The sequence below is a fragment of the Homo sapiens genome, chromosome 11, assembly GCF_000001405.40.
Source record: "Homo sapiens chromosome 11, GRCh38.p14 Primary Assembly".
In the NCBI taxonomy this organism is placed as follows: Eukaryota; Metazoa; Chordata; class Mammalia; order Primates; family Hominidae; genus Homo; species Homo sapiens.
In genome coordinates this window covers 65,040,906-65,064,838 of record NC_000011.10, presented here as the reverse complement: position 1 = coordinate 65,064,838, position 23,933 = coordinate 65,040,906, and the positions used below count along the sequence as shown (strand labels likewise).

Below are 23,933 nucleotides of genomic sequence, written 5' to 3'. Positions count from 1 at the left end.
ATATTACTCAGGCTGGTCTCAAACTCCTGGGCTCAAAGAATCCTCCCGCCTCAGCCTGCCAACATGCTGGGATTACAGGCATTAGCTACCGCTCCCAGACTAACATCTCTGACTTAGCAGCCCACCCCTTCTGAGACTCTACCCTCCTCACCCGATGGCTGTAGGGATCCCAGACCTCCCCAACCACCTACTTCCTGACCTGTCCTTGACCAGGGGCCCTGCTGTACAAACAGCTGTCTTGCAATTTTCCCAAAGGGAATCATAGGGTACTGAGGTTGATGGTAGTTGGATCAACAGCTAAATCAATTACCCATTTAAGGACTTCTGTCAATAAGATGCAGTCATCAGCATGGTCCCATTTGATGTTTCCTTTAAAAGGACACAGAGAGAGACTAATTATGCTTTTTTTTTTTTTTTTTTTGCGACAGAGTCTTGTTCTGTCGCCCACGCTACAGTGCAGTGGCGCAATCTCAGCTCACTGCAACCTCTGCCTCCTGGCTTCATGCCATTCTCCTGCCTCAGCCTCCCGAGTAGCTGGGACTACAGGCACCCGCCACCATGCCTGGCTAGTTTTTTATATTTTTAGTAGAGACGGGGTTTCACCGTGTTAGCCAGGGTGGTCTCGATCTCCTGACCTTGTGATACACCTGCCTCGGCCTCCCAAAGTGCTGGGATTACAGGTGTGAGCCACTGCACCCGGCTAATTATGCTTTTATTTAATTATGTCTCAGCCTGGGACAGCGCTCGAATAAGGTTACATGAATACTGCTTGGCTGCAGGAAATGGAGTCTATTACGGAGCCCCCTCCCCAACCAGCTCCAAACCACAGAAGTGCTTATAGATTCGAATGCATCCTGGCCATGGTTCTGCAGCTCAGGGATCCTTCACTGGCTGTCCTGAGGTCAGTCCCTGCAGCCACTCCTGTTGACACTGCATCCAAGCAGTCCCAGCCCAGCCCAGAGGTTCCTGTCAAGGAAGGTCCCACAGCAAAGCTGCGTGGGCCCCAGGGTGTTACCTGGTCCTTTCATTCACACACATTTCTCCCAGTCAAAGGAGGCTACCATGTGAGTCACAAGCTGTGCCCACACCTCCTGGGCCTCTGTCATCAAGGCACTGGGCTTGGGTTAGCAAATCAGCCTCCTCTGTCTGGCTGGCACCATTTCTCTAGTGAGGGGCAGAATGGGATGCCTCTCTCCTGCCTAGTGATGGCAGGTGGGATAGCTTCGTGAATGTGCAGGCGCTGCATTCTACTCTCAGCTCCACCCCTTGCTGTCTGGTGTGACCTTGACTGAGTGCCTGGACACACATCTTCATCTGTAACATGGGGTTCCACTGTGTCCACCTCGGAGGATGAATGATTTTGTGTGGACTTGGTGCATTCCATGTGTTGGCGACTGTTATCTGATCTCCAGTGGATCTACCCTGGCCCCCAAACTGGCTTTGCAGGCCCAGTGGGAGCAGCTCTGAGTACCAGTGTTCCCAGCAGGCTCCCTTCCCCACTAAAGGGCCTGGTATTCCTGCCCAAGAGGGTGGCCAGACCCTGCAGCCTGGCAGGGCCTTCCTCCATCCTGCAACGTCATCCTTTGGGAACACCCAGCACTGAAAGTCTGTTAGATCCCATCCCCATCTTGTGAGGGCACCTGCGCCTGTTACGCAGGTGTCCTATGCATGGCTGCCTTGGCAGTCTGGTGGGGCTTACCCAGAGGGGATCTGCTTCCCAGGGGTCTCGTGCCCACCTTTTACATCTCTTATTGCTCTGAACACCCCTTGGACAGAAGACAGCTGGAGCAGGAGTGTTGAGTTGCTGTGCTGGCGTAGGTCAGCTTTGCCTCCAATCTACAAATACTTGTTGAGTGCCTCATAGGTGCCGGGCACTGCTCTGGACTCTGGGGCTTCGGCAGTGAATAAAACAAAGATGTCTGCCCTGGTAGAACTTACGCTCTGGGAGGGGCAGCAAGAAATAATGAACAAGTAACATGAGGATAGATGCAATGGAGAAAAATGAAGCCACAGAGGAAGAGGAAGCCTGAGGGAGGGGGAGGAATGCAATTTTATTTTATTTATGTATTTTTAAACATGGATTCTCACTATGTTGCCCAGGCTGGTCTTGAACTTCTGGACTCAAGCGATCTTCCTGCCTCAGCCTCCCAAAGTGTTGGGATTATAGGTATGAGCCACTGCACCCAGCCAGGAATGCAATTTCAGATAGAGTAGTCAGGGAAGAGCTCATTGAGAAGTGACATTTGAGCAAAGACACAAAGGACCTGAGGGAAGGAGCCCTGTGGACAGCTGGGGAGCAGGGTTCTAGGGAGCGGGAGCTGCCAACACAAAGGCACTGAGTCAGGAGTGTGCCTGGTAGGCTCAGGGGACAGTAGCAGGCCAGAGCTACAGGAGCCGTGAGTGAGGAGGACAGGGAGGGGACCGGGTCTGAGACATGAAGGGCTCTATGGCCACTGTCATGACTGTTACTCTGAGTGTAAAGGGAGACTTGGAGGGCTGTGAGCACGGTCGTGACATGGCGGACCTGGGTTTCACAAAGATGAGTCTGACTGCTATGTAGAGAAAAAAACTAGAGGGGACAAGAATACAATCAGAGAGGCCAGTTAAGAGGCCACTGCAGGCTGGGCACGGTGGCTCTCGCCTGTAATCCCAGCACTTTGGGAGGCCAAGGCGGGCGGATCACCTGAGGTTGGGAGTTTGAGACCAGCCTGACCAACATGGAGAAACCCTATCTTTACTAAAAACACAAAATTAGCTGGGCATGGTGGCGCATGCCTGTGATCCCGGCTACTCAGGAGGCTGAGGCAGGAGAATCACTTGAACCTGGGAGGCAGAGGTTGCGGTGAGCCGAGATCGCGCCATTGCACTCCAGCCTGGGCAACAAAAGCGAAACTCTGTCTCAAAAAAAAAAAAAAAAAAAAAAATTAGGCAGCTGGAAATACAAGAGTTCGGGGATGGGTTAGATTGGAGACATATACTTGCGGGTTTCTGGTCTATATTTAGTCATTTGTATTGGTTCTCCATTTTGCTGTGGTTTTTTTTGTTTTTTTTTTTTTTTTTTCTTGAGACGGAGTCTCACTCTGTCACCCAGGCTGGAGTGCAGTGGCGCTATCTCGGCTCACTGCAAGCTCTGCCTCCCAGGTTCACGCCATTCTCCTGCCTCAGCCTCCAGAGTAGCTGGGACTACAGGTGCCCGCCACCACGCCCGGCTAATTTTTTTGTATTTTGAGTAGAGACGGGCTTTCACCATGTTAGCCAGGATGGTCTTGATCTCCTCACCTCATGATCCGCACGTCTCCGCCTCCCAAAGTGCTGGGATTATAGGCGTGAGCCACCGCGCCTGGCCTATTTTGCTCGGTTATAATCACTCCAAAACCTAGTAGCCCAAAACCATAAACATGTATTATCTCACACAGTGTCCACAGGTTAAGAATCTGAAAGTGGCTTGGTTGGGTGGTACTGGCTGAGGGACTCTCGTGAGGCTGCAGTCAAGATTCCAGCAGGGGCCGCTGTATTCTGACGGCTTGGCTGGTGCTGGAGGACCCATTTCCAAGTTGGTTTATTCACAGGGCTGGCAAGTTAGTGCTGAATGTTGGCAGGAGGCTTTAGCGCCTCACCATGAGGCCTGTCCACAGGGCTGCTTGAGTGTCTTCACAACATGGTGTCCGGGAGGCCACGTGACTCTGCAGGCACATCCAGGGGCAAGGGTGCAGGCGCAGAAGAAGCAGAAAGTGAGTCAGAAGTAACCAGAATGGTGTTTTCCCAGTGGATGTGACCAAAGCAGAGAGGATTGGGGGTTAAGAGGGCTTCCAGGGCCTCAAACTGGGCAAGGTGAGTACACGTGGGAGGTGAAGGAGGGTGGGACGGAGGCAAGTGTGTGGGGCAGGTGGAGAGTGGGGAGGGAGCCAGCAGCAGTGCATTGCTGGTCCTGGAGGATTGAAGACCCCTTGGACCCAGAGCCATTGGGAGAATAAGGCAGGAAAATGAAAGGTGTTCATGTGCTCTAACTACCGTAAGTTATTTCTAGGAACTCCCACAATCCAGAATGTTCTGGGAGGGGCCATACCACCCACACAGCAAAGATGAAGGAAAGAAAATTGACTAAGTTAACGTCTGGTGCCTACAGCCATGTAGACACCAGTGGATTCCAACAGCCTGAGTGGATCTCTTGGGTGTCACACACACAGCTGTTTACACACTCTCCAACACAAACCACAGTCCCAGGTGTTATCACTCAGATGTCACACACTTTTGTCCAGGCGTCCTGTTTGTGACTTCACATGATTGAGGGGTTAAATCCTTCCAGGAGTGGGTGGGGTAGGACCATGGGGTTGCTGCCTCAGTCCCTCAACTTATCAGCTGACCTTGGCATCCCACTCCCCACCTGGTGGTGACTGTCCTGTGTCCTCATAAGGAAGGTGTATGCTCCCTGCACCGATGGGCTTCTGATAAGATCCAAGGTCATATTCTGGGCGTCGATAATCACGTTGCCAAGAACTGTGGCTTCCTGGTGCACCTCCCTGAAGTCACTGATCACATGACATCCCTTCCCAGCCACCCCTAGTCCTCCCATGCTGAACCTCCTCACCAGCAGCACAAGAGATGGTGGTGCCAGCAAAATGGGGTTGTGAGCAGGAAGGAGGCTGCTCTGAGAGGGGTCTGTGAAATCACACACACACACATGCACGTGCACACACACACACACACACACACACGCTCTGCCCTGATCCAGCCCCCAAGCTCTGCAGGCATCTTTGAGCCCATCCATGGGCTGCAACCTGCGAGGCAGAGTCAAGGCAGGATAGGCCATGGGAGGGTGGGAGAAGTCCCAGCTCAAGTCCCTAGGGACCCCCCCAGCCCCTCCTGGCTCTCCGTGAGGTCTGGAAGAGGCTCAGTATGTGTATGGCATACTTGGGGTCTCACTTCCCTCTCAGCCCTTGCAAATGCTGGAACACCTTTTCAGCCTTGGAGGACCCCCTCAGATGTTCCCTCCTAGTCAGAACTCCTCACTCTTTCACTGGGAGCATGGTGATCCTCCCTCTACAGGGCACTTACCACATGGCTGAACCTAAAGCCTGTCTGCCTCGCCTGCTGGATTTTGCTTCCCCACAGCCTTGCATGGCTCTAGTATAGCACAGAATGAACAGTGCTTGCATGTATAAAGGAAGGAATGAATAAGTGAATGGAGGGATGGGTGGATGGATAAATAGGAGGGTGGATGACGGAGTCCAGGCAGAGCCAGGGGATAGAAGAGGAAGTCACCTCGCCAGGGAGGCATGGGCTTCCCCTGCTGCCTCCTCTGGGACAGCCTCCCTTCCCAGGACTCCCATTCCTCGTATCGCTGGGCTCCCTTCAGGATAGACACAGAGAGTTCTTCTGGGTCCTCCTTCTTCCTTTAGCTCTAGGCCTTACATTTTCCAGAGTCAGATGAGGGATGAGTAGTTAAAATTGATGAGCTCCCACTACATGTCAGACACTGCACTAGCTATTTCTACAGATGCCATATTGTTTAATGAAAATGACACCATAGCCGGCACGGTGGCTCACTCCTGTCATCCCAGCACTTTGGGAGGCTGAGGCGGGTGATCACCTGAGATCAGGAGTTTGAGACCAGCCTGGCCAACATGGTGAAACCCCATCTCTACTAAAAATACAAAAATTAGCTGGACATGGTGGTGCACACCCGTAATCCCAGCTACTCGGGAGGCCGATGCAGGAGAATCACTTGAGCCCGGGAGGTGGAGGTTGCAGTGAGCCGAGATCACACCACTGGACTCCAGCCTGGGTGTCAGTGGAAGACACAGTCTAGAAAAAAAAAAAAGAAAACAGGTGTAGAGAAGCTGAGTGGATTGCCCAAGGTCACACAGCTTACGTCCAGCAAGAAGGGGGATCTCAACTCAAAATCTGCTCAGGCAGGTAGGGCTGGGTATGCTGTAGATCGGCTGCCTTGGAGGGAGGCAGAGGCAGTGAGGGTGGGCAGTGGGCACGGCCCTGCTGTGAACACAGGAGCTCTGAGTTCCAGCCCTGGCTTGGCCTCTGTTTTCCTGGGACACCCTGGATGAGCCCCTTCCCTCTCGGCTTCAGTGTCCCTGGGTGACCTTGCTGCCCTTGGAGAGCCATTCCAGGCAAATGGTGCAGGATGTGGTGGATGTGGATGGCTCCTGGCTCTCACTGCGGGATGTTCCCTCACTCTCCCTGCCAGCTGGGGGTCAAAGGGCAGTGCCACCCATGGGGTAATGTTTAACCAGGCACAACACCCCCTCTATAGGGAATAACCTATAGACCAGTCCTACCCCAGCTGGCCAAGAGTCCGCAGGATGCAGTGGACGAAGGTGTTGGGGCTGGGGCTGGGGGCTGCTGCCCTCTTGGGGCTGGGGATCATCCTCGGCCACTTTGCCATCCCCAAAAAAGCCAACTCACTGGCCCCCCAGGACCTGGACCTGGAGATCCTGGAGACCGTCATGGGGCAGCTGGATGCCCACAGGATCCGGGAGAACCTCAGGTGAGAAGTGGGGCCATCTGCTCCTCCGTTTGCCAGAGGCCCCCTCCCTGATGCTGGCCCTGCCCCTCCCTCTGCCCACCCTGCAGAGAACTCTCCAGGGAGCCACACCTGGCCTCCAGCCCTCGGGATGAGGACCTGGTGCAGCTGCTGCTGCAGCGCTGGAAGGACCCAGAGTCAGGCCTGGACTCGGCCGAGGCCTCCACGTACGAAGTGCTGCTGTCCTTCCCTAGCCAGGAGCAGCCCAACGTCGTGGACATCGGTGAGGTCCTGCCCAGTCTTGGGAATGCCCGGGGGTGGGGAGCTGCTGGGCCCAGCCATGATACTGCCACCCCTCCAACAGTGGGCCCCACTGGGGGCATCATCCACTCCTGCCACCGGACTGAGGAGAACGTGACCGGGGAGCAAGGGGGGCCAGATGTGGTACAACCCTATGCTGCCTATGCTCCTTCTGGAACCCCACAGGTGGGCCCAGAACCCCCCCTACTGCTCTGGCCCAGCTCCCTTGGTTCCACCCAGGGTTCTCCCCACCCTGACCCAGGGAACGTGCCTCAACTGGGGCACAGCGCGCCCTCCGGAATTTACTCACCGGGACACTCCATCGCTGCTCCTTTCCTCCATCAGTCATTCAACAAACACTAGTGGCTCTGCTCAAGGCCAGGTCTGTTACAGGGCACCCAGACATGGAGGAAATGAGGGGTGACTGTTCTTGGGGAGCTTACAAGCTCTGGGTGAGGTGGGGGAACAGAATCTAAATTCTCCCTCCTGCCATGCAAACTTCCACCCCCCTTCCCCACCCACACTTCGCTGGGCCCAGCTCTAAGGATCACCCCCTCTTGGGACTAGGGCCTCCTCGTCTATGCCAACCGGGGCGCGGAAGAAGACTTTAAGGAGCTACAGACTCAGGGCATCAAACTTGAAGGCACCATTGCCCTGACTCGATATGGGGGTGTAGGGCGTGGGGCCAAGGTGAGTGGCAGTCCCCCAGTGCAGGAGGCCTCGGTGAGGAAGGGGCTGGGCAGTGGACTGGAGGAAGTGAGGGGAAGGGGAAGGAGAAGAGGCAGTGTTGAGTGGGGAACCAAGCCCCAGGGTGGGGCAGGAAAGGCAAGGTGTTTTCGGGTTGTCCCACCAATGGGCTGTGTGGCCTCGGATGCCTCCCTGACCCTCTCTGAGCTGTAGGAAATAAAGGGGTTGAGTACAATTTTCAGGTTTGGTATTCCAGAAGTCTAAGTCCTCCTGTGAAATAGTTTTGAATATTCAACTTAAGTCCCTCCTGTTGGCCCTCTCCCTGCCATTTCTTTTCCATCAAAAATTCTGACTAGGGGCCGGGCGCTGTGGCTCACGCCTATAATCCCAGCACTTTGGGAGGCCGAAGTGGGCAGATCACCTGAGGTCAGGAGATCAAGGCCAGCCTGGCCAACATGGTGAAACTCCATCTCTACTCAAAATACAAAATTAGCCACACATGGTGGTGCATGCCTGTAATCCCAGCTACTGGGGAGGCTCAGGCAGATGAACTGCTTGAACCTGGGAGGCAGAGATGGTAGTGAGCTGAGATTGCACCACTGCACTCTCCAGCCTGGGAGACATCGAGACTCTGATTTAAAAAAAAAAAAAAAAAAAAAAAGGCTGGGCATGGGCGTGGTGGCTCACGCTTGTAATCCTAGCACTTTGCGGGGCCAAGGCAGGCGGATTGCCTGAGTTCAGGAGTTCAAGACCAGCCTGGGCAACACGGTGAAACCCCATCTCTACTAAAATACAAAAAAACAAAAATTAGCTGGGTGTGGCAGCGTGCACCTGTAGTCCTAGCTACTCAGGAGGCTGAGGCAGGAGAATTGCTTGAACCCAGGAGGTGGAGGTTGCAGTGAGCCAAGATTGTGCCACTGCACTCCAGCCTGGGTGACAGAGCGAGACTCCATCTCTAAAAACAAAAAACAAACAAACAAACAAAATTAATATAAAAAGAGTAGAATGAGAGAGGGGAAGGGATAGTTGGTATTTAATGGGGACCGAGTTTCGGATTTGTCAGATGAAGAGTTCTAGAGATGAATGGTGGTGATGTTGCACAATATGGATGTACTGAATGCCACTGAACTGCATACTCCACATGCTAAGTTTATGTTATGTGTATTTTACCACAATTTTTTTAAAAGTGGGCTGGACGCGGTGGCTCATGCCTGTAATCCCAGCACTTTCGGAGGCCAAGGCAGGTGGATTACCTGAGGTCAGGAGTTCGAGACCAGCCTGGCCAACATGGTGAAACCCTGTCTCTACTAAAAATACAAAAAATAGCCGCTCATGGTGGCAGGCACCTGTAATCCCAGCTACTCAGAGGTTGAGGCAGCAGAATCACTTGAACCCAGGAGGCAGAGGTTGCAGTGAGCCGAGATCATGCCATTGCACTCCAGCCTGGGGGACAAGAGCAAGACCTCATCTCAAAAAAAAAAAAAAAAAGGTGTCCATAATAAGAGCTGGGAAAAGAGAAAGAAAGAAGGAAGGTGGAGAGAAAGGAAGGAAGAAAAGAAAGGGAAAAAAGGAAAAGAAAAAGAAAGGGGAACAAGCAGTGTAGAAATACACAGATTATTAATTAACCATCACCACTACCCATTTCCAGAACCTTTTCATCATTTCAAACAGAAACTTTATTTAACAATAACTCCCCAGGTCCCTGCCCCAGCCCCTATTCTATTTTCTGTAACCTCAATTCTACTTTCTGTCTCTATGAATTTGCCTATTCTAGGTACCTCGCATAAGTGAAAGTATAAGATATTTGTCTTTTTATGTCTGGCTTATTTCACTTAACATAACATCTTCAAGGCTCATTGATGTATCAGAACTTTCTTTCTTTTTAGGCTGAATAATATTCCATTGTTTTTTGTTTGTTTGTTTGTTGGGGTTTTTTTGAGACAGAGTCTTGCTCTGTCACCTAGGCTGGAGTGCAGTGGCATGATCTCAGCTCACTGCAACCTCCACCTCCCAGGTTCAGGCGATTCTCGTGCCTCAGCCTCCCAAATAGCTGGGACTACAGGTGTGTACCACCACACCTGGCTAATTTCTGTATTTTTAGTAGAGACAAGGTTTCACCATGTTGGCCAGGCTGGTCTTGACCTCAGGTGATCTACCTGCTGGTCTTGACCTCAGGTGATCCCACCTCAGGTGATCTGCCTGCCTCAGCCTCCCAAAGTGTTGGGATTACAGGCGTGAGCCACCCCACCCGGCCTCCATTGTATGTTACAGCCCACATTTGGTTTAGCCATTCATCTGTTGATGGACACTTGGGCTATTTCCTCCTTTTGGCCGTTGAGGATAATGCTGCTGTGGACATGAGTACACAACTGTGTTATTTTATGCAGCTTCATGGTATTCCACTGTAGGATGTCCCTGTTATTCAACCAGACTCCACTGATAGGCACGGGCTTGGCTGTGCCGAACTGGCCTTTACTGTTGCAAGAGGCACTGCCATAAATGACTTGTGCAAACGTCATCTTGCCCATGGAAGATTGGTCTATCCTGGCTTCCACAGTCGAGGAAGGAGGAAGAGGAATAGGACATATCTGGTCCCGGTCCCTCCCTTACACACAGCCTCCTCTGCCCACTGCAGGCTGTGAACGCTGCCAAGCACGGGGTAGCTGGGGTGCTGGTGTACACAGACCCTGCCGACATCAACGATGGGCTGAGCTCACCCGACGAAACCTTTCCCAACTCCTGGTACCTGCCCCCCTCAGGAGTGGAGCGAGGCTCCTACTACGAGTATTTTGGGGACCCTCTGACTCCCTACCTTCCAGCCGTCCCCTCTTCCTTCCGCGTGGACCTTGCCAATGTCTCCGGATTTCCCCCAATTCCTACACAGCCCATTGGCTTCCAGGATGCAAGAGACCTGCTCTGGTGAGTTTGTGCCCTGGGGTGTCCTGCCCAGCCCCAGTGGCCTCCAGACTTCAAGCCCCACACTCACATTTACCCTGAAGGGCCTCTTCCTCCTCCCCAGTAACCTCAACGGAACTTTGGCCCCAGCCACCTGGCAGGGAGCACTGGGCTGCCACTACAGGTTGGGTCCCGGCTTCCGGCCTGACGGAGACTTCCCAGCAGACAGGTGAGATGCAGCCAGACCAGGTCTCCCTCAGTTGCCCTCTCCCCCAACTCGCCTCTCCCCTTCCCTTGTGATGATGTTCCCTCTTTCCACTTCAAAGCCTGACCTTTTTCCCTTTCCTCTCTCTCCCAGACCCTCTCCTGACCCCAAAATATGTCTTGTTTTTGGGGAAGCCCGTGAAACAGCTGCTGCTGTTTCCTGTGGGGATTCCCCTGCCCCTCCCACCTCATCTTGACGTCTGTAACTCACGACTCCCTCTCTTGAAGATGCCAAGCTCCTTCCCAAATCAGGGCCCCTGCCACTCCCAACCTGCACCAACCTCCCTCCCTACAGCACCCACTGGCCTCCAGGTGCCCTCTCCTCCCAGGCCCCTTCACCCAGCTGTTCCTGTCCTCCTGGTCTGTCTCACTCAGGAGAGGGAGGCCCCACGAGAACCAGGTCCACATCTGTCACCGTCATTGCCCAGAGACTAGTCAGGGACTAAGTACCCAATAAGTACCTACCCAGCGAGTAGGCAGGAGAGCCTGGCTCCAGCCTTGCTGCCTCTCTTGGTACTTCGGGGCCAATGAATGGCCTTGCCACGTCACTTTCCAGCTCCGGGCCTCAGTGTCTCCTGCACTGGGTCGGGGGCAGTGGGCAAGGCCAAGAGTCTTCTCACACCCTTCACCCTCCCCAGCCAGGTGAATGTGAGCGTCTACAACCGCCTGGAGCTGAGGAACTCTTCCAACGTCCTGGGCATCATCCGTGGGGCTGTGGAGCCTGGTGAGCCCTCCTCTTGCTGCCTGCACCCCAGGCCCCTGCTCTGCTCTGGATGCCGCTGTCCTCATCCAGCCCTGCCCTTGCCACCACCCAGCCCAGCTCCCCCTGCCCACCTCTCCCTCTCCTCTGGTTCTCTGCCCCTTTTCCTCTGGCCAGATCGCTACGTGCTGTATGGGAACCACCGAGACAGCTGGGTGCACGGGGCTGTGGACCCCAGCAGTGGCACCGCCGTCCTCCTGGAGCTCTCCCGTGTCCTGGGGACCCTGCTGAAGAAGGGTGAGGCGGCCCCCTCCCCTGGACCAGGGACCTTCGCCCCCGGAGGTCCCCTTCCTGTTCCACCTCCTCTCCCTCACACTGCAGTGCTCCTTGTGCCATGCCTGAGGGCCCTGGGGGCAGACATGCATGACACCAGCCTTGGCCTGCAGCAGCCCAGTGTGGTACAGGGAATAGACTGTGGGTTGATTCATGTGCCGCTTCCAAGTGCCTCCCGTGTGCCTGGATGGAGCAAGGCCCGATGCTGCTGTGAAGCAGGCAGCGCCCAGGCTCTGCCCTCCGGGAACTTTAGCTCAGCTGGGTCAGGGACGGCAGCCGATTGTTAACTCTGATGTCTCTAATGTCTTGTGTGCCTTTGACATGGCAGGCCAGGTTGGGACAAGTCTCTCAGTGGAGGCAGCACTTCAGCGTTTCAGTGCTTCAGGGAAGGAGAGGAGGGCAAGGAGGTGGCAGCCAGAAAGGAGGTGGACAGGGCTGGGCGAGGTGGCAGAGCAGGCAGGGCCAGGCCAGGCTGAGGAGTTTGGAGTTCAGTCCAAGGGTTGTGGGAAGCCGGTGAAGGATTTCACGCAGGAGAGGGACATGATAGAGTCCTCATGTTAAACGGCTCCTGGCCAGGCACAGTGGCTCACGCCTGTAATCCCAGCACTCTGGGAGGCCGAGGCAGGCAGATCACGAGGTCAGGAGTTCGAGACCAGCCTGGCCAACATGGTGAAACCCCGTCTCTACTAAAAATACAAAAATTAGCAGGGCATGGTGGTGTGCACCTGTAGTCCCTGCTACTTGGGAGGCTGAGGCAGGAGAATCATTTGAACCTGGGAGGCAGAGGTTGCAGTGAGCTGAGATCGCGCCACTGCACTCCAGCCGGGAGAATGGAGCAAGACCCCGTCTAAAAAAAAAAAGCGGGGAGCAGGGGAAGGGCACTCCACATAGGGGGGCCAGGCAGACGCTTGTCATTCCAGGGCTGGAGATGCTGTGGGGCTTGGACCAGGATGGAGGGCAGTGGGGCAGGGACAGGCTGCTGGGCCCGGGTCTGCTGGCTCCAGGGGCAAGAGGGAGGACAAGTCGAGGGCTGTGGTCTAAGCGACTCGACATTAGTGCCATTTAAGAAAAATAACTGGGTGGATCTAGGACAGATCTAGAAGGAAGATGTGAATCTGGGTCTTCCCATATTAATTTCTTGTTTTAGTTTTAGTTATTTATTTTTATAGAGATGGGGTCTCGCTGTGTTGCCTAAGCTGGTCTTGAACTCCAGGACTCAAGTGATCCACAGGCATTGAGTTTCCACGCCAGGCCCTCTTTCGTTAGTTTTAAAAATTCATGGTAAAATATACATAACAAAATTGACCAGTTTTACGTTTGTAAGTATTTGATTCAGTGGCATTAAGTACATTTCTAAAGTTGTGCAACCATCACTGCCATTGGCTCCAGAACTTCTTCATCTTCCCTTACATATAATATCCCAGAGTGCTAAGCATGGCATTTGAACCGATACCCACTCAACTGTAATTGCACACAAACACGCCACTGCTGTCAAACTCCATCCCCCCCCTTGTATGATATGATGTCGCAGTTCAGAAATGAGACCTGAAGTCTGGCCACAGTGGTTCATGCCTGTTATCCCTGCACTTTCGAAGGCTGAGGTGGGCGGATTGCTTGAGCCCAGGAGTTCGAGACCAACCTTGTGAGACCTTGTCTTTACAAAAAATAAACATAAAAAAATAGCCAGGCGTGGTGACATGTGCCTGTGGTTCCAGCTACTTCGGAGGCTGTGTGGGAGGAACACTTGAGCCTGGGAGGTTGAGGCTGCAGTAAGCCGTGATCACACTACTGCACTCCAGCCTGGGCAACAGAAAAGGACCCTGTCTCAAAAAAAAAAAAAAAAAAAAAAAAAAAAAAAAAAAAAAAGAAAGAAAGAAAGGAGAGAGAGACTTGAGAGATGACTTGGGGAGTTGGTAGCAAAACAGTCTGTGAAACCACAGGTGTTGCTGAGATCAGCTCAGAAGCCAGGGGTGGAGGGAGTGGACAAGCTTGTGGAGAGAGGCTGGGCTTTCGACTTTACCCTTATGGGTAGCGCAGAAATTCCCATATTTTTTTGTTTGTCAAAGTGTTGTATGTTGAAATAATTTCAGACTTACAGAGATGTAAAAATAGTACAAAGAAGCCTCTTATACAGACACTCCTAATATTAATGTTTCATCACGTTTGCTTTCTATCTCTGTATAATATATGGGCCAGGCACGGTGACTCATGCCAATAATCCCAGCACGTTGGGAGGCAGAGGCAGGAGGATCGCTTGAGCCCAAGAGTTTAAGACCAGCCTGGGGAACATACCGAGACCCCTGTCTCTACAAAAAATAGGGGAAAAAAGCCTTGGCTATTTATAATATAACTATATATGTTTTTGTCTGAAGTATTATTATTATTATTATTTTGAGACACAGTCTTGCTCTGTGACCCAGGCTGGAGTGCAGTGGCGCAATCTGGCTCACTGCAACCTCTGCCCTCCAGGTTCAAGCCATTCTCCTGCCTCAGCCTCCTGAGTAGCTGGGATTACAGGCATGCGCCACCACGCCTGGCTAATTTTTGTATTTTCAGTAGAGATGGGGTTTTACCGTGTTGGCCAGGCTGGTGTCGAACTCCTGACCTCAGGTGATCCACCCGCTCTGGCCTTCCAAAGTGCTGGGATTACAGGTGTGAGCCAATGTGCCCAGCCAATTTTCCACAACTTTTTTTTTTAATTATTTAGACAGAGTCTCGCTCTGTCGCCCAGGTTGGAGTGCAGTGGCGCCATCTCGGCTCACTGCAAGCTCTGCCTCCTAGGTCTGCACCATTCTTCTGCCTCACCCTCCCGAGTAGCTGGGACTACAGGCACCCGCCACCACGCCTGGCTAATTTTTTGTATTTTTAGTAGAGATGGGGTTTCACCTTGTTAGCCAGGATGGTCTCAATCTCCTGACCTCGTGATCCGCCCACCTCAGCCTCCCAAAGTGCTGGGATTACAGGCGTGAGTCACCGCGCCAGCCCCCACAACTTTTAAATGCTTCCAGCTGGGTGTCGTGGCTCATGCCTGTAATCCCAGCACTTTGGAAGGCCGGGGTGGGTGGATCACCTGAGGTCAGGAGTTCAACACCAGCCTGGCCAACGTGGTAAAACCCCATCTCTACTGAAAATACAAAAATTAGCTGGGCGTGGTGGTGGGTGCCTGTAATCCCAGCTACTCGGGAGGCTGAGGCAGGAGAATCGCTTGAACCTGGGGGGCAGAGGTTGCAGTGAGCTGATTGCGCCACTGCACTCCAGCCTGGTTGATGAGAGTGAGACTCCATCTCAAAAAAAAGAAAAAAATATTTTTTGAGACAGGGTCTCACTCTGTTGCCCAGCCTGGAGTGCAGTGGTGCAGTCAGCTCACTGCTTGCTCGACCTCCTGGGCTCAAGCGATCCTCCTGCCTCAGCTTCCTGATTAGCTGGGACTACAGGTGTGTGCGCCACCAAGCCCTGATACTTTTTTACTTTTTGTAGAGACAAGGTCTTGCTGTGTTACTGAGGCTGGTCTCGAACTCTTGGGCTTAAGTGATCCTCCTTGCCTCAGCCTCCCAAAGTGTTGGGATTACAGGCGTGAGCCACTGTGCCCAGTGATGACCTTGATAGCAAAATAATTTTTTGGCCCAAGCTCCAATCCAGGATCACACTAGTGATCTGGTTACTAGTTTCCTTTAGTCTATAATAATTGTTTAGCTGTTCTTTGTCTTTCATGATCCTGCTATTATTATCCTATTATTTTGTCAAATAACCCTCAATTTGGGTTTGGCTCATTTGATTTAGATTATACATTTTTGGCAGAAAAAATTGTAAAAATGTATAATTGCAAGCGTGTAATCACATCACACTGAAAAATTCTTCATTTGCTGGTTGCGGTGGCTCACACCTGTAATCCCAGCACTTTGGGAGGCTGAAGTGGGTGGATCACTTGAGCTCAGGAGTTCAAGACTGGCCTGGGCAACATGGACAAACCCCATCTCTACCAAAAATACAGTAATCAGCCAGGCGCGGTGGTGTGTGCCTGTGGTCCCAGCTACTTGGGAGGTTGAGGTGAGAGGATCGCCGGACCCCAGGAAGTTGAGGGTGTGGGGAGCCGAGATCGCACCACTGCACTCCAACCTGGGCCACAGAGTGAGACTCAGTCCCTCAGGCTGGATGCAGTGGCACGATCTCAGCTCACTGCAACCTCTACCTCCCAGGCTCAAGCGATTCTCCTGCCTGAACCCGGGAGGCAGAGCATCCTGCAACCTGGCTTCCACCTCCAGTCCCTATACCCACAGTGTGGAGCCAAATATCTGGATTTGAAACTGGCTCTGCTGCCTACCAGCCGTGTGACCCTGGGAAAGTCATTTAGCTTCTCTCAGCTTCTTCAACTGTGAAATGGAAATAATAATAGTATCTCCCTCAAGGCATTGTTGTAGGGATTGGTTCCACGTGGATAATGCCCTAACAGGAAATGTTCCTGTGTTATCACCAAGTGAAGATGGCTATGGAGTTTGGCCTGGAGGCGGGGGTTGAGGGTGGAGGGTCGGAAGTCTTCCCAGAGCATGCCCACAGAGAGAGAGGGGCAGTAGGCATTCTGGTAGAAGGGACCACCCGACCCTTCAGGGGGCTTGGAGTTGGGGTCAGTGTTTGGTGCGGGAGCCTCCTGGAAGGCCTGGCTGCAGGGTGCCAGGACATCCTGTCACCAGCTGCCCCGCCTTTTCCCGCTCTCCCCTCCTCACGTCAGCAGCCTTTCTCCTAAGGCACCCTAGGATCAGGAGGACCCTGTCCTCCAACCCTCTATCCCCCATTCCCAGGCACCTGGCGTCCTCGCAGATCAATCGTGTTTGCGAGCTGGGGGGCTGAGGAGTTTGGGCTCATTGGCTCCACGGAATTCACAGAAGTGAGTGGCCCTACAGGGTAGGGGATCGAAAGGGGTTCCCAGGACAGAACGGCGCGGGGCTGACGTCGCCCCTCGCACCCGCAGGAGTTCTTCAACAAGCTGCAGGAGCGCACGGTGGCCTACATCAACGTGGACATCTCGGTGTTTGGTATGTGGGTGGTGGGGCAGGAAAGGGGAGGAGACGGCGGGACGACTGGGTGGGTAAAAGAAGGGGCTGGGGCCCAAATAGTCTTTCTCCCCTCCTCCCACAGCCAACGCTACCCTTAGGGTGCAGGGGACGCCCCCTGTCCAGAGCGTCGTCTTCTCTGCAACCAAAGAGGTGGAAGGGGGCAGGCCGGGCGGGGCTGAACTAGCTGGGGCGGGCCGCGTGCGGCGGACGGGGCCGCTACGGGTGGGCGGGGCTGGGGAGTGGTACTCTCTAGATCTGCTGGGGCTGGACTGAGGCTGGGGCAAGCCTCGTAAGGACTGGACCACGGGTGGGCAGGAGACCGGTGGAGAACCCGCCCTGTTGTTGGGGCTGGGGAGGGCCGCGCACCGAGACTAAATTCTCCTTCCGGCCAGATCCGCTCACCAGGCCCTGGCGACCTGAGCATCTACGACAACTGGATCCGGTACTTCAACCGCAGCAGCCCGGTGTACGGCCTGGTCCCCAGGTAAGCCCAGGGACAGAAGGGGGCCCGGAGCGAGGCGGTCCGGCCCAGCGCTCTTTATCCCGGCCCCCTTCCTTCCCGCAGCTTGGGTTCTCTGGGTGCTGGCAGCGACTATGCACCCTTCGTTCACTTCCTGGGCATCTCCTCCATGGACATTGCCTATACCTATGACCGGGTGAGCAGGCGCCCCTCCGTCCCTGCCTCGGTACCTTGCTGCATGCGCCCCCTCCTCTCTTTGTGGCTGTTCTCATACAGACTGAACCCTGCACCTTTACTCATTGCTACCTCTGCCAAGTTTCTTAAAAAAAAACACACACACACACAGAAATACACACACACGTTTTATATAGACGAAGTCCTGCTTTGTTGCCAGGCTGGTCTTGAACTCCTGGGCTCAAACCATCCTCCCGCCTCAGCCTCCTAAAGTGCTGAGATTACAGGTGTGAGCCTTGGTGCCCGGCCTCTGCCAAGTTTAACCTTTTCAAGCACCTCTTTATGCTCATCTATGTTATTTTATCAAATGTAAGATACTACTGATTATAAGATGTGCCGTTATGTTATGCAATATTCAGGAAAGGAAAAAAAACCACCGCTTCCAACCAGTTGTAAGATGGCATTGCCTGTGAGAAGCATTCTGTTTCCAAAGATCTTAAAATGTAGGGGCGGGGGTGGGAGGGGGGAAGTTAATCTCAGCATCGATTAACTCAGACCATTGGCGTGAGCGTTGGCATGAAGGTAAAAACAAGACAAGGGGTGCAGAGTGCCCAGCTGGCACCTCCCTGTTTGATGCTCCAAAAAGTATGTTCTCCACCTCACAGCCACAGCGATTCTTGGTAGTAGAGCTGGGATTTGAATCTATCTGACCCCAAAGCCCCAGGTTCTTCTCCTTTCTGTGAAACTGGAAACTGGCACCAGACCCAGCTCTTCCACTAATTAGCTATGTGATATCAGCAGGTTAACCTCTCTGAGCTTCAGTTTCCTTTTCTGTGGGAATTCTAGAAGCCACCTCACAGACATGGCCAAGATTCAGTGGAGATAATGCCCACATTTTGCAGCTCACTGGAGGTACACCTTCTCCCACTTCCCATCCCAAGCCTGTCACCTCTGGGCTTTGTTCCCCCAGAGCAAGACTTCAGCCAGGATCTACCCCACCTACCACACAGCCTTTGACACCTTTGACTATGTGGACAAGTTTTTGGACCCGGGTGAGGAGGGAGACAAGGGGCATCCTGAGACCAGGACAGGAGAGGCTGAAGACTGAGCCCTGGCCTTGTCACCTTGCCGCAGGCTTCAGCAGCCATCAGGCTGTGGCCCGGACAGCGGGGAGTGTGATTCTCCGGCTCAGTGACAGCTTCTTCCTGCCCCTCAAAGTCAGTGACTACAGTGAGACACTCCGCAGCTTCCTGCAGGCAGCCCAGCAAGATCTTGGGGCCCTGCTGGAGCAGCACAGCATCAGCCTGGGTATGCACAGCCCTGACCCTGAGGTATGGGGAGCCCTGCACCCCCATGACTGAGCCACTGCTTGTTCCTCACAGGGCCTCTGGTGACTGCAGTGGAGAAGTTTGAGGCAGAAGCTGCAGCCTTGGGCCAACGCATATCAACACTGCAGAAGGGCAGCCCTGAGTGAGCAAGGGCAGCGGGCAGGGGCTGGGAGGGCAGCACCCAGGGCAGGATACCAGGCTGGTAGCTGGGCTGCTGGCTCCAGGGTGACTGGCAGTTCCTGCCTCCCCACCAGCCCCCTGCAGGTCCGGATGCTCAATGACCAGTTGATGCTCTTGGAACGGACCTTTCTGAACCCTAGAGCCTTCCCAGAGGAACGCTACTACAGGTGAGTCTGTCCCAGAGTCCTGGGAGGTGCCTCCAGGTGGGGCCGGACAATGGCTCCCCACCTGAGACGAGGTGGTCAGCTTCTCTGCCCTTTAGAGTGCAACCCAGCCCCTGAAGAAGATGGGAATGTAAGGCTCAGGGAGGGGAGGAAAGTTGCTTGAGGGTCCCTCTGGGAGCTAGGACTGGAACCCACATTTCCTCCCCCGACCGCCACTGCTGTAAGAGCTCCCTGGCCTTCAGAGACAAGTGGACGGGGGTGCTTTTCTGCCTCGCTGCGTACAGGAGCTGAGCCAGTTCTAGGCCCAGGCTTCTCTTTCCTGGCCCCTGACTGACTGACCCTGATCCTGTCCCATTTCTCTTGTCAGCCATGTGCTCTGGGCACCTCGCACGGGCTCCGTAGTCACATTCCCGGGCCTATCCAATGCCTGCTCCAGGGCCAGGGACACAGCTTCTGGATCTGAAGCTTGGGCTGAGGTCCAGAGACAGCTCAGCATTGTGGTGACAGCCCTGGAGGGTGCGGCAGCCACCCTGAGGCCTGTGGCTGACCTCTGACCCCAGCCCTCTTTCTTCAGCCCTCCCTTTACTCCAACCCTCTCCTGCCTGCTTTCCTGAGATGTCCTGGTCTTCCTTGGTGCCAGAAGAGGGCACTACCACAGGACCCTCTCAAGCTTCTCAGGCAACAGCTTGAGGTCCCTGAGGGGAGTGGCAAGCCCTAATGCAACTCACCCTCATCCTGGTGCTTAGGTGGCAGAGGGTGGGCAGCAGGGGACAGGGATGGGATGGCAAAACCACCAACTGCCCTTGGTGGCAGGTGGGTGGAGATGGGATGCGTGCCAACCTCAGATGCCAACTCAGGTCATCAAGGCCAAGGACCAGTGGCGAAAGTGAGTCTTGGGGTACCTTAGGCCTTGGCTAGTCTGCGTTCCTCTCCCTGCATGCTGTGTATCCTAACTCCCTACAACAGCCCCTCAAATAAATCACATCTAGTGACTGGTACCAACAAAACAAGTTCCTTTTATTACCTGGAAACCATGGAAAAAGAAACCTAAGTGCTCTGGCCCAGTCCTGGGGCTCTGGGAGGCTCACGCTCCCTCCTCAGGCTGGGGACCCAGGTCTGTCCGTGCCCTCATCTTCCTCCTCTGCCATGACCACCTCCTCCAGGGTACGTCCTCGAAGTTTGCTCTCCACTAACACCTTGCACGTACTGGCAGGCGGTAGCCCTTCCTCCACGTAGCGACCCCTCAGGAACACAACTCTCTCCTCTCCGTCCAAGGGCAGCCCGTGGGCCTGGCACAGGTCCCGTGCTTCCCTGAGTCCATCCAGGGCCAAGAGGTTGACCATGAAGCCCAGAGGCAAGGTCTGGCCCTTGGGGGTGCTAAAGGCACGAGCGAAGCGGGCCAGGGCTTCCCGGCGGGCATGGCCCACATGGCACTGCACAGCGCAACTTGGCAGGTAGGGCAGGGTCTGGAGCAGACGGAACAGGCGGGCAGCATTGCCCTCTCGGAAGGCAGCATCTACCGCCAAGGCCTTGCGGAGGGGCGGGCAGGCGCGCAGGGCAGCAGGCAGCTGTAGAACCTCATGCAGGGCTTCCACCGAGCCTGTGAGAGCGGGAAGCCAGAATGAGGACGCCTGGTCCTTACAGGATCAGGCTCATCTCCCCTCCCAACACCCTGTCCTTCCTCTCTCCTCGACCACGCCCCTTCTCTAGGCCTAGCCCAACTTCCCTCTCCCCTCTAAGGGCCAGCCTTTGGCTCCTTCCCCAACCTATATTTGAATGAGTGGCCTCAGGCTCTTGACTTCCTGCAGTCCAGATCCTTACTTACAACACTGAAGTGGGCAGGGTTTACGGATTTGGGAAGCTGGCCCAGATAATTGAATGATTCGCCTGAGAGTGTCCTAGGGCGGGTATGTAGTTGAGCCTGACCCCAGTCCAAGTTTTCGGACTTGGATTTCCCACTACCCTGGCTTCCCTGTACCCACAGTTTTGGAAGCCAACTCTGCCCCACTTTCCCCTGACCACCTGGGAAGGCCCCTTCCTTCAGGAGACTCTGCCCTTGCTTCCCTTCTGGAAGAGTCTCAGACACTGGAACCTTGGCCCTCATTTGTAAACTGGGGCTTCTGACCAATAAGTAGGTTGTGAAGTCAACAGCATTTTGTTAAAATTGTATAGGGCAGGGCCTTTTTTTTTTTTTTTTTTTTTTTTTTTTGAGACAGACTTGCTTTGTCACCCAGGCTGAAGTATAGTGGCTCTTGGCTCACTGCAATCTCCACTACCTCCCAGGTTCAGGTGATTCCCCTGCATCAGCCTCCTGAGTAGCTGGGATTACGGGTATGCACCACCACACCCAGCTAATTTCTGCATTTTTAGTAGAGAGGGCCCAGCCAGAACAGAGCTTATTTGGGCACAGTGGCTCATGCCTGTAATCCCAGCACTTTGGGAGGCCAACGCGGTAGGATCACTTTAGCCCAGGAGTTTGAGAGCAACCTGGTCAACATGGCAAGACTCCAATCCCTATATAAAAATAAATTTTAAAAAATTAAAAGAAAAGAAAATCATGGTCCTGCCACTACTACTGTTAACCAGTGCTGTGTCAACAGGCAAGTCACCTCACCACCCTGGGCTTCGATTTCTTCCCCCACTAGACCAGGGATAATTACCATGCCTTCTTCAGAGGAACAGTGTGGACAAAAATAAACCATTCACTGGGCATGATGGCCACACCCGGCTACTTGGGAGGGTGGGGCAGGAGGATCACTTGAGCCCAGGAATTCGAGTGGCAACATGCGAGATCCCATCTCTACAAAAAAAATTTTTTTAAGTTAGCCGGGTGTGATTGCATACATCTGTGGTCCCAGCTACTTGGAAGGCTGAGGCAGAAGGATCCCTTGAGCCCACGAGGTTGAGGCTGCAGTGAACTATAATTAAGCCACTGTACTCCAGCCTGGGCAAGAGTGAGACCCTGTCTCAAAAAACACAAACAGGCCGGGTGCAGTGACTCACGCCTGTAATCCCAGCACTTTGGGAGGCAGAGGTGAGCTATCATTTTGAGGTCAGGAGTTCGAGACCAGCATGGCCAACATGGTGTTGGCCTGTCTCTACTAAATATCCAAACACTAGCCGGGTGTGGTGGTGCACGCCTGTAGTCCCAGCTCTTTGGGAGGCTGACGCAGGCGAATAGCCTGAACCCGGGAGGCGGAGGTTGCAGTTAGGCAAGATCATGCCACCGCACTCCAGCCTGGGCGACAGAGCTAGACTCTGTCTCAAAAACAAAGAAAGAAACAAATAATAAGAGTTTATTGGAATGCATCGCCCATAGAAAGTATCTCTAATGCCTTAAACTTCTGTCTCAGGTATATTCGTGGGCATATGTGTTCTTGTTTGCTTGGTAACCCTGACTGGGCGGGGAGGTTAAAAGAGTTTGAAAATCAGCCGGGCGCGGTGGCTCACGCCTGTAATCCCAGCACTTTGTGAGGCCAAGGTGGGCGGATCACGAGGTCAGGAGTTCGAGACCAGCCTGACCAACATGGTGAAACCCCCGTCTCTACTAAATACAAAAATTAGCTGGGTGTGGTGGCGCGCGCCTGTGATCCCAGCTACTCAGGAGGCTGAGGCAGAAGAATCGCTTGACCCAGGGAGGCGGAGGTTGCAGTGAGCCGAGATCGCGCCACTGCACTCCAGCCTGGGCGACAGAGCGAGACTCAAAAAAAAAAAAGTTTGAAAATCACTATTTAGACCAATTCTCCCTTTCCACCCTTGCCCCCTCCACTTTTATTCCTGAGACAACTAAGACCCAGAGATGGGCCCGAGGTCCCACGTCGGGGCTCGGTGGATCTTGTGCTGTCCTGGGAGGGGGCTAATGGTGAGATGTTAAAGCTAATCCTTCCTTTCCCTACCTCCACTGTCATGGTGGGCTCCTGTCCCCACGCTCTGCCCAGCCGCCAGGATCCCGACTCACCCAGGTTATAGAGCAGAAAGAGGCCCTGGAAGGCGGGTTGGCGGGGGTGCGGCCCGGCGCCCCGCGCGTAGCAGCGCCGCAGCGAGCCGAAGCCCTCCTGCACCTGGGCCTGCAGCAGCACCGGGTCCGCGGGTCCCCGCGCCGCGTCGGGCCCGAGCCGCGCCACTACGGTCAGCAGCGTGGCCAGCGCCGCCTCCAGCACCACAGCTGCCTCGGCGTCGCCCGCTCCCTGCAGCGCCAGGTCCAGGAGCACAGCTCGCAAGCGGTCTGCCACGAAGCTGGCCACCTCGGCGCGGGCGATGTCGGCGCTCTCCGCCACCTCACCGGCCAGGTAGCGCACGGTGGCCAGCAGCACGGAGGGCGGACGCAACTGGCTGGGCGGGGGCCGGGGCTTGCCGGCGGCGGGTCGGCTGTACTCCTTCACCGCGCGCTGCGGATCCGCGCGGGGCGGGTCCTGGCGGCAACCCGGCACCACCTCCAAGCGGTGCAGGCGGTGCTCCCTTTCGCGCTGGGCGCGCTCGGCGGCCGGGCACATGTCCGGGCAGGTGCCCACGGGCAGCTCGCAGCCGGGCATGAGGGGGCTGCGGGGAGACGGTGGGCGCTCAGCATCCCGGGGACGGCAGTGCTGCGGGAAGGCACGCGAGGCCGGCCGGGGGGTGGGGAGCGGCGGGTCGGGGCGGGGCTGAACCTGTCTGGGCCCGCCTTCCCGCCATGATCCCCGGCCTTCGGGCCGCCCATCGAGCCACCTCTGTCCTCTCACCCAGTCCAGTCGAGTTGGCCTCCCGAGATGCACTGCGTTGTAGTCCAGCTACGCCTCTGCGGCTCCGCGCGCTCTAGGGCGGCTAACGGCCCCCATCGAGCGCCAAGTTCAGCTTCGCGCGCTCCCCTTAGTGTTTTTAACGTGTAGCCCGGGCCGCTCCCATGATACACCGGTGTAGTCCCTGCCGCAACCAACCGCTTT

The 23,933-nt window shown here is 54.7% G+C and overlaps 3 protein-coding genes across 25 annotated transcripts in view, besides 5 other annotated features; 2 read left to right on the top strand and 1 right to left on the bottom strand.

The window, feature by feature from the left end:
- The window catches only part of CDCA5 (cell division cycle associated 5), a 22,948-nt gene extending 19,202 nt beyond the window's left edge, over window positions 1–3,746 (top strand). For 2 of the 3 annotated variants that reach the window (XR_001747758.3, XR_001747757.3), the window contains 2 exons: window positions 732–901; window positions 2,101–2,137. Coding sequence is in view for 1 of the 3 variants with exons in the window: in XM_011544743.4 (XP_011543045.1) it covers window positions 3,636–3,746 (111 nt within the window). In the remaining 2 variants the exon portion in view is untranslated. Of the gene's footprint in view, window positions 1–731; window positions 902–2,100; window positions 2,138–3,635 lie in introns of those variants that run through there. The other variant, XM_011544743.4, reaches the window with a different exon arrangement.
- Window positions 3,636–20,021, top strand: NAALADL1 (N-acetylated alpha-linked acidic dipeptidase like 1). 15 transcript variants are annotated; one of them, XM_047426169.1, is made up of 19 exons: window positions 3,636–3,831; window positions 6,432–6,502; window positions 6,589–6,761; window positions 6,843–6,964; window positions 7,346–7,468; window positions 10,101–10,384; window positions 10,485–10,589; window positions 11,263–11,348; window positions 11,502–11,621; window positions 16,454–16,539; window positions 16,624–16,687; window positions 16,791–16,858; window positions 17,101–17,192; window positions 17,274–17,364; window positions 18,313–18,394; window positions 18,477–18,650; window positions 18,725–18,812; window positions 18,925–19,017; window positions 19,382–20,021. In XM_047426169.1, exons 2-19 carry the CDS (start codon window positions 6,462–6,464, stop codon window positions 19,566–19,568), a joined length of 2,079 nt encoding a protein of 692 aa, XP_047282125.1. In that variant the 5' UTR covers window positions 3,636–3,831; window positions 6,432–6,461; the 3' UTR covers window positions 19,569–20,021. The 15 variants fall into 15 exon arrangements, 12 of the variants coding, with proteins under 12 accessions (XP_047282125.1, XP_011543009.1, NP_005459.2 ...); XM_011544707.3 differs by lacking the exon at window positions 3,636–3,831 and adding an exon at window positions 5,818–5,916; NM_005468.3 differs by lacking the exon at window positions 3,636–3,831 and having other exon boundaries at window positions 6,286–6,502.
- Window positions 15,984–16,862: an enhancer, noted in NCBI's record as "H3K27ac-H3K4me1 hESC enhancer chr11:64815449-64816327 (GRCh37/hg19 assembly coordinates)". NCBI's record gives its function as "activates a minimal SCP1, AML or CMV promoter by ChIP-STARR-seq in primed H9 embryonic stem cells {active_cell/tissue: H9 hESC(primed)}" and the evidence as "EXISTENCE:reporter gene assay evidence [ECO:0000049][PMID:30033119]".
- Window positions 16,863–17,741: an enhancer, noted in NCBI's record as "H3K27ac-H3K4me1 hESC enhancer chr11:64814570-64815448 (GRCh37/hg19 assembly coordinates)". NCBI's record gives its function as "activates a minimal SCP1, AML or CMV promoter by ChIP-STARR-seq in primed H9 embryonic stem cells {active_cell/tissue: H9 hESC(primed)}" and the evidence as "EXISTENCE:reporter gene assay evidence [ECO:0000049][PMID:30033119]".
- Window positions 20,011–23,906, bottom strand: SAC3D1 (SAC3 domain containing 1). Of its 7 annotated transcripts, NM_001367487.1 has the most exons (4): window positions 23,733–23,906; window positions 22,973–23,553; window positions 21,675–21,814; window positions 20,011–20,614 (listed from the first exon to the last, which is right to left on the bottom strand). In NM_001367487.1, the coding sequence occupies exons 2-3, from the start codon at window positions 23,544–23,546 to the stop codon at window positions 21,717–21,719; spliced, it is 672 nt and encodes a 223-aa protein (NP_001354416.1). In that variant the 5' UTR covers window positions 23,547–23,553; window positions 23,733–23,906; the 3' UTR covers window positions 20,011–20,614; window positions 21,675–21,716. The 7 variants fall into 7 exon arrangements, 5 of the variants coding, with proteins under 5 accessions (NP_001354416.1, NP_001354414.1, NP_001354417.1 ...); NR_160028.1 differs by lacking the exon at window positions 22,973–23,553; NM_001367485.1 differs by lacking the exon at window positions 21,675–21,814.
- Window positions 20,463–21,009: an enhancer, noted in NCBI's record as "H3K27ac-H3K4me1 hESC enhancer chr11:64811302-64811848 (GRCh37/hg19 assembly coordinates)". NCBI's record gives its function as "activates a minimal SCP1, AML or CMV promoter by ChIP-STARR-seq in naive H9 embryonic stem cells {active_cell/tissue: H9 hESC(naive)}" and the evidence as "EXISTENCE:reporter gene assay evidence [ECO:0000049][PMID:30033119]".
- Window positions 22,961–23,010: a silencer, noted in NCBI's record as "silent region_3507". NCBI's record gives its function as "represses an Ori minimal core promoter by ATAC-STARR-seq in GM12878 lymphoblastoid cells {active_cell/tissue: GM12878}" and the evidence as "EXISTENCE:reporter gene assay evidence [ECO:0000049][PMID:35858748]".
- Window positions 23,031–23,710: a silencer, noted in NCBI's record as "silent region_3506". NCBI's record gives its function as "represses an Ori minimal core promoter by ATAC-STARR-seq in GM12878 lymphoblastoid cells {active_cell/tissue: GM12878}" and the evidence as "EXISTENCE:reporter gene assay evidence [ECO:0000049][PMID:35858748]".

Bases quoted from the DNA above. Each gene is read 5' to 3' on its own strand.
- NAALADL1 (NM_005468.3), top strand. From the start codon at position 6,318: ATGCAGTGGACGAAGGTGTTGGGGCTGGGGCTGGGGGCTGCTGCCCTC. The intron at 11,622-16,453 runs GTGAGGCGGCCC...CCCCATTCCCAG, and splicing joins GGGGACCCTGCTGAAGAAGG to GCACCTGGCGTCCTCGCAGA. The intron at 16,540-16,623 runs GTGAGTGGCCCT...TCGCACCCGCAG, and splicing joins GCTCCACGGAATTCACAGAA to GAGTTCTTCAACAAGCTGCA.
- SAC3D1 (NM_001367485.1), bottom strand. From the start codon at position 23,546: ATGCCCGGCTGCGAGCTGCCCGTGGGCACCTGCCCGGACATGTGCCCG. The intron at 20,615-22,972 runs GTGAGTCGGGAT...CCGCTCTCACAG, and splicing joins CTTTCTGCTCTATAACCTGG to GCTCGGTGGAAGCCCTGCAT.